General features: G+C 38.3%; 1 long non-coding RNA gene across 2 annotated transcripts; it reads right to left on the bottom strand.

Annotated features, from left to right (window-relative positions):
- Positions 1 to 211: 211 nt before the first annotated feature.
- Positions 212 to 11,989, bottom strand: LOC107984983 (uncharacterized). Of its 2 annotated transcripts, none has more exons than XR_001753058.2 (3): positions 11,918 to 11,989; positions 4,673 to 4,823; positions 212 to 3,051 (listed from the first exon to the last, which is right to left on the bottom strand). It is a non-coding gene; the product is annotated as an uncharacterized LOC107984983 (long non-coding RNA). The 2 variants fall into 2 exon arrangements; XR_001753059.2 differs by lacking the exon at positions 11,918 to 11,989 and adding an exon at positions 7,807 to 7,892.
- Between the last annotated feature and the right edge of the window lie 1,735 nt (positions 11,990 to 13,724).

The raw sequence follows: 13,724 nt of genomic DNA, 5'->3' as shown, positions 1-13,724 counted from the left end.
AGATCAGAGTTCAAAAACTAGTGGCACTGAGATACGTTCAGGTCCCAAACATATTATTGTTTACCTATGTGAACCCTGAATATCTGGGACAGGTCACAGTCAATTTAGGAAGTTCATTTTTCCAAAGTTAAGGATGTGCACCTATGATACTGTCTGAGCAGGTCCTGACGACTTGTGCCCAAGGTGGTCGATGCAAAGCTTAGTTTTATACTTTTTTTTTTTTTTTTTTGAGACGGAGTCTCACTCTGTCACCTTGGCTGGAGTGCAGTGGTGTGATCTCGGCTCACTGCAACCTCCACCTTCTAGGTTCAAGTGATTCTCCTGCCACAGCCTCCCAAGTAGCTGAGACTACAGGCGCCCGCCGCCACACCTGGCTAATTTTTGTATTTTTAGTAGAGACGGGGTTTTCCCATGTTGGCCAGGCTGGTCTCAAACTTCTGACCTCAGGTGATCCACTCACCTTGGTCTCCCGAAGTGCTGGGATTACCGGCGTGAGCCACTGTGCACGTCCCAGTTTTATACATTTTAGGGAGACAAGAGACATCAATCAATATATGTAAGATGACAATTGGCTTGTTTCAGAAGGGGGCCTCCAGATTCTAGGTAGGTAAGAGACAAATGGTTGCATTCTTTTGAGTTTCTGATTAACCTTTCCAAAGGAGGCAATCAGATACGCATTTATCTCAGTGAGCAGAGGGATGACTTTGAATAGAATAGGAGGCAGGTTTGCCCCTAGGCAGTTCCCAGCTTGACTTTCATTTTAGCTTAGTGTTTGGGGGCTTTAATATTTATTTTCCTTTCACACCTAATAACTTTTATTTGAATGATTTCCTATCATTTTTAAATAGAAAAATTTAATGTAAGGATCTGAATCCAGGAGTCTCCAGAAAAATCGGAAGGTCTGGTGACACAGCTTGCATTCCTGGAGGGCAATAGTTGGCTAGAGCTCAGGACAGGCTATCTCCTACCTGCAGGCCCCTTTGAGCTCCCATGTATACACCATCCTCCTTCTCCTCCTAATTGCCCATATGATTGATATCAGGCATTCTTCAACTAGGTCCTCAACTACATTATGTGTCTGACCTTTGAGTGTGTAGGCTTCAGAGCTTTGCTGGAAAAGGATACATCTTTTAATACGGGAAAATTAATCCTCTTTGTTGTGGAAGGAGTAGTGTTTTACTCTATGTGCCCAGGGTGCGGGTGATAGTTAATGAGTACACTAGGTTTCTGCCAAAGGTTCCAATTTATTTTTGATGTGGAGGAGGGAAGCGTTTGCCCAGTTTCTGTTAAACACTTTTAATGGATTTCTGATTCACAGGGCTAGCTCCTGGTAGCCAGAATTATACTTTGTCACTCAGTTTTCATTGAATACCCAAGGAAACAGACACCAACTCAAGATAGGCCAACAATATTCTCTCTTCCAGACATTTGTACGTGGATTTTATAGCTCTTCAGTGTCTGCATGTTGACACGGACAGGAGAGAGGAAATACTGTGTAAAAGAGGGCAGTTCCTCAGAAAAGGCACCACCCTCAAGCCTGAAAACCCGTGGCCTGAAGTGAGAAGAGGCATTTCTGTTTTTGCATCCAAAAGTTGCCTTCTGACCCAACACACCCCCCTATCCTGTACCCATATAAACCCCAGACCCCAGGCTCCAGAAGCAGATGAGGAGATGAACAGAAAATCGAAGAATTGCAGAACAGCATGGCAGAGAAGGAAAGAAGAGAAGGAGTGGCTGAATACCAAGAGGAGTTTCGCTGGGGATGATCAGAGAGGAGATTGGCGGCTCCATGGCCAAACTCCAGGTGAAGATCATCTTTCCACTCCAACCCCCTTCCATCTCCCCATCCATCCTGCTGAGAGTCACCTCCAGCACTGAGTAAAACCACCACATTCATCCTTTAAGTCCATTTGTAACCCAATTCTTCTTGGATGCTGGACAAGGACCTGGGTACCAAGAAGGCACTGAGCTGTTTAACACTTAAGCTGTCCACAGAAAGTAAGGCTAAAAAAACACCCTGTAACACATGCCCACGTGGGCTTTGGGGGTCATGGGCTCCCACTCCTGGATGCTGCCACAGGGCTGGAACCCAGGAGCACTGGGGCACTTTCCCCAGCTCCTGCACCTTACCCATGTCTGTGCTCCCCTTCTTGTAAAGGGTTTGAGTGCACACGGAGGCTGAACAGGTGAACCATATCCCTGTCACATGTTCTGCAAGAGGGGTAGTCAGGAAAACCTCTCATCTCAATATGAAAAGAAGTATATTAGGAAGCCATATTTTTACAAAATAAATAGCAAGACAGTCAGTCTTCAGAGAACAGTGATGGCAATGACAGTGACAAATGACACAAATTCTCAGAGGAATATATAATTGAAGAATAAAATTCTGAAGACTTTTCAGTTGCTGTTTTCTTGTCTTCCCTTCTCTTTGGGGTTAATATTATATTCATGTATATTTAAAATAAATGCTCTCCTTTGGCTTACTTAGTTTAATCCCCATTACTTGAAACCAATGTGATCTAAATCAGCAGCCCCCAGACTTTTTGGCACCAGGGACTGGTTTCATGGAAGACAATTTTTCCACAGACTGGGCGCAGTGGGGGTAATGGTTTTGGGATAATTCGAGTGCATTATATTTATTGTGCACTTTATTTCTATTATTATTACATTGCAATATATAATGAAATAATTATACAACTCACCATAATGTAGAATCAGCAGGAGCCCTGAGCTTGTTTTCCTGCAACTGCACAGTTCCATCTGGAGATGATGGGAGACTGTGACAGATCATTAGGCATTAGATTCTCAAAAGGTGCATGCAACCCTTGCAAGTGCAGTTCACTATAGGGTTTACATTCCTATGAGAATCTAATGCAGCTGATGTGACAGAAGGTGGAGCTCAGGTGGTAACAAGAGCAATGCGGAGTGACTTTAAATAAAGTTGAAGCTTCCCTCACTCACCTGGCATTCACCTCCTACTGCAACTGAGTTCCTAACAGGCCACAAATCAGTACTGGTCCATGGCTGGGGGTTGTGGACCCCTGATCTAAACTGTTACAATGGAAAAATGAAAAAATCTGTTAAGCTGAGGCTCTAACAGATAACAGACAATAATGATATTCTTCACCACCCATCAAACTTAAAGAGTAAGGAGAATAATACAAATTCATCATCTCAGTTTAATTCTGTTGTCTAAAATCTCCTTGGTTTTCTAAAATCAAGCCACATCCTGTTCTATGCATATTTCCAATTTTAAGCATGTACAATTGTAAATCATTATATTTTTATTATCACTATGTTATTCTGTTTTATTGTTTGTTTCTCCTAGTTTGAATGCTATCTCTTCTAAATTTAAATGCAGCAAGTTGGTTCCATAAATTAATATTTATTTTATTGGAATTCTAGCAGTAAATACAATGACACTGAATATTTCCAAGTTGGTTTTTAAAACCTCCTTCTGAGCAAGTAGCTTGAGATAGTCTCTTTTCATAATAAAGAAGAAAAATAAAACACCTTCTCATTAATGAATTATTTTGCATATGAAATCCATACAGTCCTGGTATGGGAACCATAAAGATTATTGAGATAGGAATAATGCAGTAAGCCAAAGTGATATTCAGCTCCAGTGACTATTTATTTAAACAAACCTTGAAATGCTTTAGTATAATGTAACAAGTGGGACCATGCCTTAAACTTCATGCTGTCTTTTTTTTTATCTCAGACATATCTTACTTTTAGCAACTCATTGTATAAACAGAAAAAGTAGAGGATCAACTTAATACGACAGCAAATTCACATGTGTTTCAAAAATGCAATGTATGTACCATAGCAAAAGTATTTTATTTCACAATGTTTTACTGAAAGATGTTTTTATACCAGGCCAGTACTCACTATGCATAGAGACAGGTAACCTACCTACTTTGGACCACAGGCTGCTAGGTCATATTAAAATGAGGATAATAGTTGAATCATTGTTCTTTTTATGCAGGAACCACTAATGTTTTTAACCTGCTTTTTTTCATAGTGAGAAAAGGTATTATCTTTATCTCTGTTCAATCAGTATCTCTAAGGATGATAACAATTGCAGCTAATAATTAGTAAGTCCTTTTTTATGGCACTATATACTTTACATTTGTTGTTCCCTATTCCTCACAAGATCCTTATTAACTATATTTCACAAAAAGGGACTGTATCTTAGGGAAGTTAAGCAATTTATTTAAAGTCAGACAGCTAAGAAGTGATAGAGCAAAAATTCAGACTACCCTCCAGAATGTGGAGGTAGATGAATCTACCTCCACTGTGTCTGTAGATGAATCACTACACTACAGTTTGTACATGTTTAATGGTTTAAAATTGGTAAACTCCTTTGACCATCACAAAAACAAGATGATAAAAACAGATGTTATTATTAGAACAACTTCATAGTTGAGGATCTCAAGGAAGTTTATCTTATAGAAGCAATCAGTATTCCAGTCATAACCTGAATCAGACATTCCAATTCTGTGCTCATTGGGTTGGCACTATCTAAGTGAGAATTCTTGGCACAGAAATCCATTTCAAACTAGCTTAAGCACATAAAGGAAATTTATTTAAGTTATTCATGTGTTCTCATTGAACATAAGGGCAGATGTGTGTTCAGACTAATGAGCAAATGGGACCAAGTTTTCAATACCTGAGTAACTTTGTCTTCAAACTTTGTGCACATCAGTTGCATTCTTCTTGCTCTCTCCATAGCCAAGTTGTCCCATTTTCCTCACCTCTTTTTAAAATTGGATCTTTCTGCTTGCTTTACTCAGTCTAGTCCAGAGGTTGGCAAAGTGTTTCTGAGAGAGAGATAGTAATTATTCAGGGTTTTGCTAGCCAAGGGGTCTCTGTAGCAGCTACTCAACTCTGCCCTGCAATGTGGAAAAAGTTACAGACAATACTTAAGTAAATAAATTAGACAATGTTCCCAATAAGCTTGATTCACAATAACAGGCAGTGGGTTGGATTTTGCCCATGAGGAGAGCTATAGTGTGCAGACCCCTAATCTAGTCCATAAAAATTGATGACAATTCTAAAATCAGTCCAGGCACAGTGGCTCAAGCCTGTAATCCCAGCATTTTGGGATGCCGAGGCTGGTGGATCACCTGAGATAAGGAGTTCAAGACCAGCCTGATTAACATGGTGAAACCCCATCTCTACTAAAAATACAAAAATTAGCTGGGCGTGGTGGTGGGTGTGTACTTATATATGTGCTGTGTGTGATGCCTATAAAAAGAGCTCTAATTAATTGGCCTAAAGGAAGATAAGTGCTTGGATCAAATATTTTTTAAAGGGAAGATAAATGGTATGGTACCTTTCATATGACTTTAATCTTTGAGAAATAAAAACAGCCTAAAAATTATTGGTAAAAAGCAGATGTTGTCAATATAAATAGGTGGACTAAATTATGCAGGTCAGATGCTAGGTTTGCTAAATGTTTTAAGGTTATATATTGCTTTCTGGGTTTTGAGAACTATTTGACTTGCCTGCTCCACAATTGGTAAGGCTTGGGGACATATAGAACTAACCATGCCCCAATTTTGCTGAAAGGGGTCAAATCTTGGCTGCACCTAGCACATAATTAAAACAACTTACCAGGTTTTACATTAAAGTTAAAAATTGCTAGGCATTACCATTGTAACATGTAATTGAAACTACTAGAAACAGATTTACATGCAAGGTGTATAAGAATAATAAAATGTGTTTTTGGTAAAATATTACAAAAAGGTGTAAATTCTCATCTAGGGTTAAAATTTTTTTAAAAATTATATAAGATACAGCTAAAAGATCAAACAAGAGGTGGAAGGATTATAAAGATTAGTCTTGCAAAAATTCTGTGTGTGAACATACTGACTTCATTCAAAGGGTATTATATGGTTTTCCTGCAAAGTGAATATTAAAATAAAAGCACAACAAGGTACTCGTAAGGCACTAATATGCTCAGGATTATAAAGGGTTTTTTTGCATTTTAAATATCTGAGTCATCATTTTGGCAAAATAAACAACTTATGGTAATGTGGAATTCTGTTTCATAACATCAAGTGTTTTAAACCTCTAAAATATTTAAAAGGGTTCCCAAAATCAAACTTCAGTTTCAAAATTGTCTTTCCTGATACCTGGCTGTTGGATGCTTCAGAGGGCCCTTGGAGTTTCCAAAAGGGAAATAAACAGGATTATTAGACATCTTCAATTACATGAGATTGCCAAAATGGTGTTCAGTCTTCTTCAGGTTATATTTTGGTCAATAATATTTTGGTCAACTAATGTATGTTCCAAAATTGTATCGGATTTCTAAAATTCTAATGTCTGAGTATATGCTATCAATCATAATTAAGGATGTTAAGTTATTGTAAACCACACTGACAACCAAACTTCTTTGTCAATTGTGTTTCTAACTGTAACTACCCTGGACATTTTATTATTCACAGACAATTATTGTCTTGTTTTAATCATTTTCAAAAGATGGTTTATAATAAACTATAGAATTTTGACACAAGACATCCTTTTCTCTCCCTTGTTGGAGGAGGACTCAATTCTACAGCTTCATCTTAGCACCTGGCTTATGATAAGGAGTCTGTGCAACCCCGCAGACATTCTTTTTCCCAAACTCAATTCCAAGCTTCGGGTCAAAGCCCTAGGAAAATAAACTGTATTTGAGGGATCCAAAGGTAAATAATAATGGAAGTTAAAAGGCACAACGCAGGTGAGTATGACTGATTCCTGCCGATTAAGCCAAGCTTACCCCTTTCGAATGCATCCTGAATCCCTAGGACTCCTTTGTAAAAATGGCTTATTTTTTCTTTTTCTTCCTCTGTCCTTTCTTCACTGACAGGTAATTGTGTCTCTGTAATATGGGATGCTCCACTCACATGCATCCTCCAAACTGGGAAGAGTTAATTTACCAAACCTTAAACTGGCTGGCTTAGGACTTGGCTCAGGGGAAGGGAACCCAGAAGCCTAACATGCAGGCAAAAGGGTAAACATTTTTCTCCTAGTCAGGCTTTTGGCCCCCCTCTCCCTGTACTAAACTGGTAAAAGTTTTCAGGATTCTTGAGCTGTCCTCCTCCCACCTTGTGTTGTTTTGATACACGTTTTCTAATAACCTGGTTTGTTTCTTCTTACCTTCAGGCCATCAAACTCCAAACGGTCACAGCTGGAGCCTCATGATGGCTCCTTCAGCTGGGAAACCTTAAATAGGCCTCTGAGGGAGCTCTGACTACCATTTTCCCAAAAGAGCATCCCCTGTTAGCAATAAGCAGTTAACATCAGTCTTCAACCTGTGCTTATCCTTATTCTAACAGCAGTCAGATGTACTTCTTTAAAGGGGTGAATGGTAAAGACAGGAGGCAGTCAAGGGTGCCCCGACAAAACCCCACCTTCAGTCTTAAAACAGCCTGGGCCGGGCGCGGTGGCTCACGCCTGTAATCCCAGCACTTTGGGAGGCCAAGGCGGACGGATCATGAGGTCAGGAGATCGAGACCATCCTGGCTAACACGGGGAAACGCCGTCTCTACTAAAAAATTGAAAAAATTAGCCGGGCATGGTGGCGGGCGCCTGTAGTCCCAGCTACTCGGGAGGCTGAGGCAGGAGAATGGTGTGAATCTGGGAGGCAGAGCTTGCAGTGAGCTGAGATCGTGCCACTGCACTCCAGCCTGGGAGACAGAGCCAGACTCCATCTCAAAAAAACAGAACAAAAAAACAGCCTGGAGGCTGAAAAACCAGTCTGACAGTCCTGGATGAAGCCCACCCTTTCCCAACAGATTGTTTCTGAATAATGCCCACCTGTGCATTGGGGGGATGGGGTGAGGCCTCGGGAAGTTTGTGCCATCTGCAGGGGGTAGGAGCCTGGCCTCTCCTGTTCCTCGGTGGTGACCTGGGATTCAACCTGTGAGATGAGGGCCTGTTAACAGGAACCTCTCTTGCTTTACAGAGATTTTTTCCCCCTTTTTTTCCCAATAAATTCCATTCCCCCTCACCCTTCAATATATCTGTGTGCCTAACTTTTCCTGGTTGTGTGACAAGAACCTGCTTTTTCCTACAACAGTATCATGTCTTGAATTGACAAATTGTACGTTTTTGGTCTATCATTCATAGCACTCTGCTTTTGGTTACAATTTCCATTCTAGTTAGGCTGTTTTGGATCACAAAAGCCAAAAAGCTTAAATTAAAATTATATAGACACAGGAAGACATTGTAAAAATAGTAGTATGTTTTGTGGAATCTAAATGCACAGAAGCTTTTAGGTGAAAGGCATAACTGGAAACTGGCATTCCCATGATGTGAGGACTACCTCTTTTTCCTTTCTTTCATCTGCTTCATAGGCCTCTTTACAAAGATTCCTTCCCCAAATTTCTAGCTCACTTAGCATCAAATTTACCCTTTAATTGTTTTGGGGCTTTATATCCAGTCATCCAAAGGGGTCTAGGATTTTCTTTCTCAATTCCAGCTCTAAAATGCCTGAGGAAGAAACCTGACTGGGCTAGTTTGGAATAGAGGTTCACGCTCGAGTCACTCAGGTGTGCTCAGAGGATTGGGTTGGATCGGAAAATGACTGAGTCTGCTGTAAGATGTTGATGAGGAGGCAGAGGGTAATTCTAGAGAGCCAAGCTGAGCAAAAAAATATATATTATTTATATTATATTATATTATATATATTAATTATATATATTATATTATATTATATCATATATATTACATTATATATATTATATATATTATATTATATATATTATATTATATATATTATATATATTATATATATTATATATATATATATATCAATGTCTACAGTGGGTACACTCACGATTTAAATAATGAAACATAAATATCTCATATTTGACATGCCATAAATGCTAGAATGTTCTTATACAAACATTTTTAAATGCCCATACATATTTCTAATTTCATCTGTCAAAGGAAGAGTTACTGAGCTCTTAAAAAGCACTGGGTGAACCCCATAAATGAATCCCAGAAAACTCAGGCTAGACTATTTTATAATTTAAGGAACAAGTAAATATATGAGTGCAATTGACCCTTGAACACCGCAGGTTTAAACTGCATGGACCCACTTATATGCTGATTTTCTTTTGCCTCTGCCACCCTTGCAACAGTAAAACAAACACGTCCTCTTTCTCCTCCTTCTGAGCCAACTCAATGTAAAGATGACGAGGATGAAGACTTTTATGACGATTCATTTCAATTTAGGTATATTTATATATATTTTAAATATGTTATCTCATTATTTTCTTAATAACATTGTCTTTTCTCTGGTTTACTTCATTGTAAAAATACAGTACATGATACACATACAAAATGTGTGTTCATGGACTGTTTTAAGTTATTGATAAGGCTTCCAGTCAACAGCAGGCTATTCATAATTAAGTTTTGTGGAAGTCAAAAGTTATATGTGGATTTTTAACTGTGCTGTGGGTTTGAACCCCTCACTTTTGTGTTGCTCAAGGATCAACTATAAAAGTTATCCTCCACTGGGAAAAAAAACAAAGGCAACCCCACAGTATCTTAAAAATAGAAGAGAATTTTATTTATTTATTTTTATAAAAAGTTCCGAAGGTAAGCTGTTAGGGAGTCCAGAACAATTCCACAATGTCAACTGGGACCAAGGCTCCTCCTGTTTTACCTCTCAGTCATCCTTACTTAACATGTGCTTATCACGTCCTGGTCGCAAGTGAGATGACTCACATGAAGCACTGAATTGGTATTTCAGGAAGACAAAGAACGAAAGGCTCACACCAGCTGATACTACACGTGATCTTAGCCAAAACCCCGAGAAGCAATTGACCAACTGTAACAATTCACTTCTTAGGGTGCATTCCTAGAAGTCCCACCCAATAATGTCTACATAAATCTTATATGTCAGAAATTAGTTATATGGGAAGCAAAAAATATATTTTATGGAAGCATATTGTAGATTTTAATAAGGAAGAAGGAGAACAATGTAAATTAATTAAGCAATTAGCCATCTCTGCATTCTTAGATATTCACATAAATAAATATAATTTTAGAGAAACTTACAGATATTCAGAAGATACAGTATTTCTGTAGTGTATGATTATGGAACATTTTATTGTATCAGGATAGATTTTAAACTGTTAAAGGTATAATAGGAACATATGTTAATAGAGGGGAGGTGAAGAGAAATTGATGCTAGTTAATAGAAATAAGAGGAAAACTGTAGGGCAGGCACCAAGAAAACCAACTGTGTGGTTATGGCACAGAGACTATGAAAGGAGGAAGAGGATGCAATATTAGAAAATCTTGGCTGGGTGTGGTGGCTCATGCCTGTAAGCCCAGCACTTTGGGAGGCCGAGGCAGGTGGATCACCTGAGATTGGGAGTTTGAGACCAGCCTGACCAATATGATGAAATGCCACCTTCTACTAAACATACAAAATTAGCCAGATGTGGTGGTGCATGCCTGCAATCCCAGCTACCTGGGAGGTTGAAGCAGGAGAATCACTTGAACCCAGGAGGCGGAGGTTGCGGTGAGCTGAGATTGTGCCATTGCACTCTAGCCTGGGCAACAACAGTGAAGCTCCATCTCTACAAGAAAAAAAAAATCTCGAATCCTAGTTAGAGGAAAGATTTAGAAAGGCCATTTGAAAGCTAAAGAGTTAGTTCTAACTAAATATGAGACATTTTTCCTTGGAAGGATTTGAAGGAGGGAAATGTCTTGAATAAACCTCCATTTCAACATTGCTTCACTATGGGGCAATATACGTATGGCCCCAGGGGCAAATTATGAAATAATTGGCCACAGGCACATTTTTCTTCAAGGTGCATTCCACTATTTAAAAAAGTATAAAAATATTTTACAACTACATTGACTTAAAATAAATCAGCAGTATATGTGGAAATGCTTTCTCAGACTTAATCATTTTATAAATTCTAATTTCAAAGGAAATGAAAATATTTTCATGATGCCCTAAGAGGATCATGGGTCCTAAGCATGGTTACTATTTTGCTAAATAGATTAGTTGTCCCTGACTTGCCCATAGAGAAACTATATCATTTATAAGACTGTGTATTTAGTAGATAAAGATGAATGTTAATCCCCAAGACAATGGGGAAAATGTCTCCAGGGCATGTCAGAGGTCTTCAGGGTAGCCTCTCCCAAAACAGGCTTGGAGGCCTAGGAGGAAAAAGTGGTTTCTTGGACTGGATCCAGGGTCCCTGTGCTGTGTGCAGCCTAGGAATTTGGTGCCCTGCATCCCAGCCACTCCAGCCATGGCTGAAAGGGCCATGTGACAGAGGGCAATGAGGCAAAGGGAAGAGATTTAAAAGCCAATGTTCATTAGAAATTAACATTTTAAGGGGATTAGTTGGAAATAAAAGTGGAAGAGCCAGAGATAATGTTTTGGGTTTCCTCAACCAATCCTAAGGAGCACTGTTGAATAGATGAGGTTCCCTGTTCCTTTTGTTGTTCTTCCCTATGTCCTGGAAACAAACTTTCAATATCTAATGTTATTAGGCTGATCCTTCTGCTCTTCTCCCATATCATCATCTCTACTGAGCTATCATTATACTCGATATAGATTATTATTCTTTCTGCCTTGATATATCCTTTCCTTGGTGCATCCAGAGCAACCACTTGCCTGGCTTTTAACAGTATTTCTGGTAAATCCTCTGACTTTTATGCTGATTGTCCCTCATGTCCCTGACTTTTAATATTGAACCTCTTTTCTTTTCTACATGTATACTTGTTATCTGTGGTTATTTCTTTGTATACGATTCTATGCCATGGCTTTAAATTTTATACATGACATATTTATATATCCAGACTGGATTACTGCCTTGAACTTTACACCTATATACCCAGCTTCTCACTTGACATATGACATATGTATTTGGAAATCGAATAGGTGTCTCAAGCTTACCTTGTCCAGGACTTAACTCAGCATATTTGTATTAGTCCATTTTCATGCTGCTGATAAGGACATACCCAAGCCTAGGAAGAAAAACAGGTTTAATGGACTTACACTTCCACATGGCTGGGGTGGCCTCACAATCTAACAGAAGGCAAGGAAGAGCAAGTCACATCTTACATGGATGGTGGCTGGCAAAGAGAGAGAGCTTGTGCAGGAAAACTCTCCCTTTTAAAATCATCAGATCTCATGAGATTTATTTACTATCATGAGAACAGCATAAGAAAATCTTGTTCCCATGAATCACATCACTTCTCAAAACTTCTGCAACAGTCATGGATGACCAACATGGATGAAACTGGTGGTCATTATGTTAAGTGAAATATGCCAGGCACAGAAAAACAAACTTTACATGTTTTTTCTTATTTGTGGGCACTAAAAATTAAAACAATTTAAGCCATGGAAATAGAGAATAGGATGGTTACCAGAGGCTTGGAAGGTTAGTGGGCAGGTGGGTAGAAGTGGAGATGATTAATGGATACCAAAAAATAGTTAGAAAGAATAAATAAGACCTGGTATTTGACACCACAACAGGATTACTATAATCACTATTAATTTATTGTACATATTAAAATAACCAAGAGTCTAATTGAATTGTGTGTAAAGCAAAGGATAAATATTTGGGTTGATGTATACCCCATTTACTCTGATGTGATTATTATGCATTGTATGCCTGTTTCAAAATCTCTTATGTACCCCATAAATATATGCACCTCTTATGTACCCAGATTAAAAAAAAATAGAAAGGAAGGTCAATATTTGCTATGACTAAAACACTCACAAATAGAATCCTAACAATTCTTATAAATCAATCACACAAATGAGGAAGAGAAAGGAATCAAATGTCAACACAACAGAATTTTATCAAACCACAAAGAAAACAGAGAAAGGAACAAACAATATCTAAAACAACTTGAAAGCAATGACGTGACAGTAACAAAACTTCACACATCAATATTAACACTCAATGTAAATAGATTAAATGTTCCACCTAAAAGACTGAAGAATGGATAAAAAGACATAATCCAACTCTATACTACCTACAATAAATTCACCTTTCCTGTAGACACATATAGACTGTAAATCAAGAGGTGGAAAAAATATTCCATGCAAATGGAAACCAAAAATGGGCAGCAGTAGCTATACTTACATCAGATAAAATAGTATTGAAATCAAATAAAGTAAAAAAGACAGAAAAATGTCATTATATAATGATAAAAGGATCAAGCATAGTGGAGGACAATCTTAAAATTTCAGAATTGAAAAAAAATACTTAAAAACCTTATGGAGACAAAAATAGTTTGAATAGCCAAAGCAATCCTAGCAAAACGAACAAAGCAGTAGGCATCACGTTACCTGACTTCAAATACTACTACATGGCTATAGTCACCAAACAGCATTGTACTGGTACAAAAATAGGAACGTAGATTAATGGAATAGAATGGAGAACCCAGAAACAAATCCACATACCAAAAACCAACTTATCTTTGACAAAGTCAACAAAAATATACACCAGAGAAGACACCATTTTCAATACATGGTGCTGGGAATATTTGAGAGTCATATGTAGAAGAATGAAACTAGACCCATACATCTCACCATATACAAAAATTAACTCAAGGAATAAAGACCTATATGTAAGATATGAACCTATAAACATTCTATGAGAAAACCTAGGAATAATTATTCTGGACATCTAGGTAGAGAATTTACAACCAAGTCCTTAATTAATGGGTGCAGCACACCAACATGGCGCATG

Source organism: Homo sapiens, chromosome 17, assembly GCF_000001405.40.
Source record: "Homo sapiens chromosome 17, GRCh38.p14 Primary Assembly".
Lineage (NCBI taxonomy): Eukaryota > Metazoa > Chordata > Mammalia > Primates > Hominidae > Homo > Homo sapiens.
Note: the sequence above shows the minus strand (reverse complement) of the source record. Positions and strands in the feature narration are given on the sequence as shown.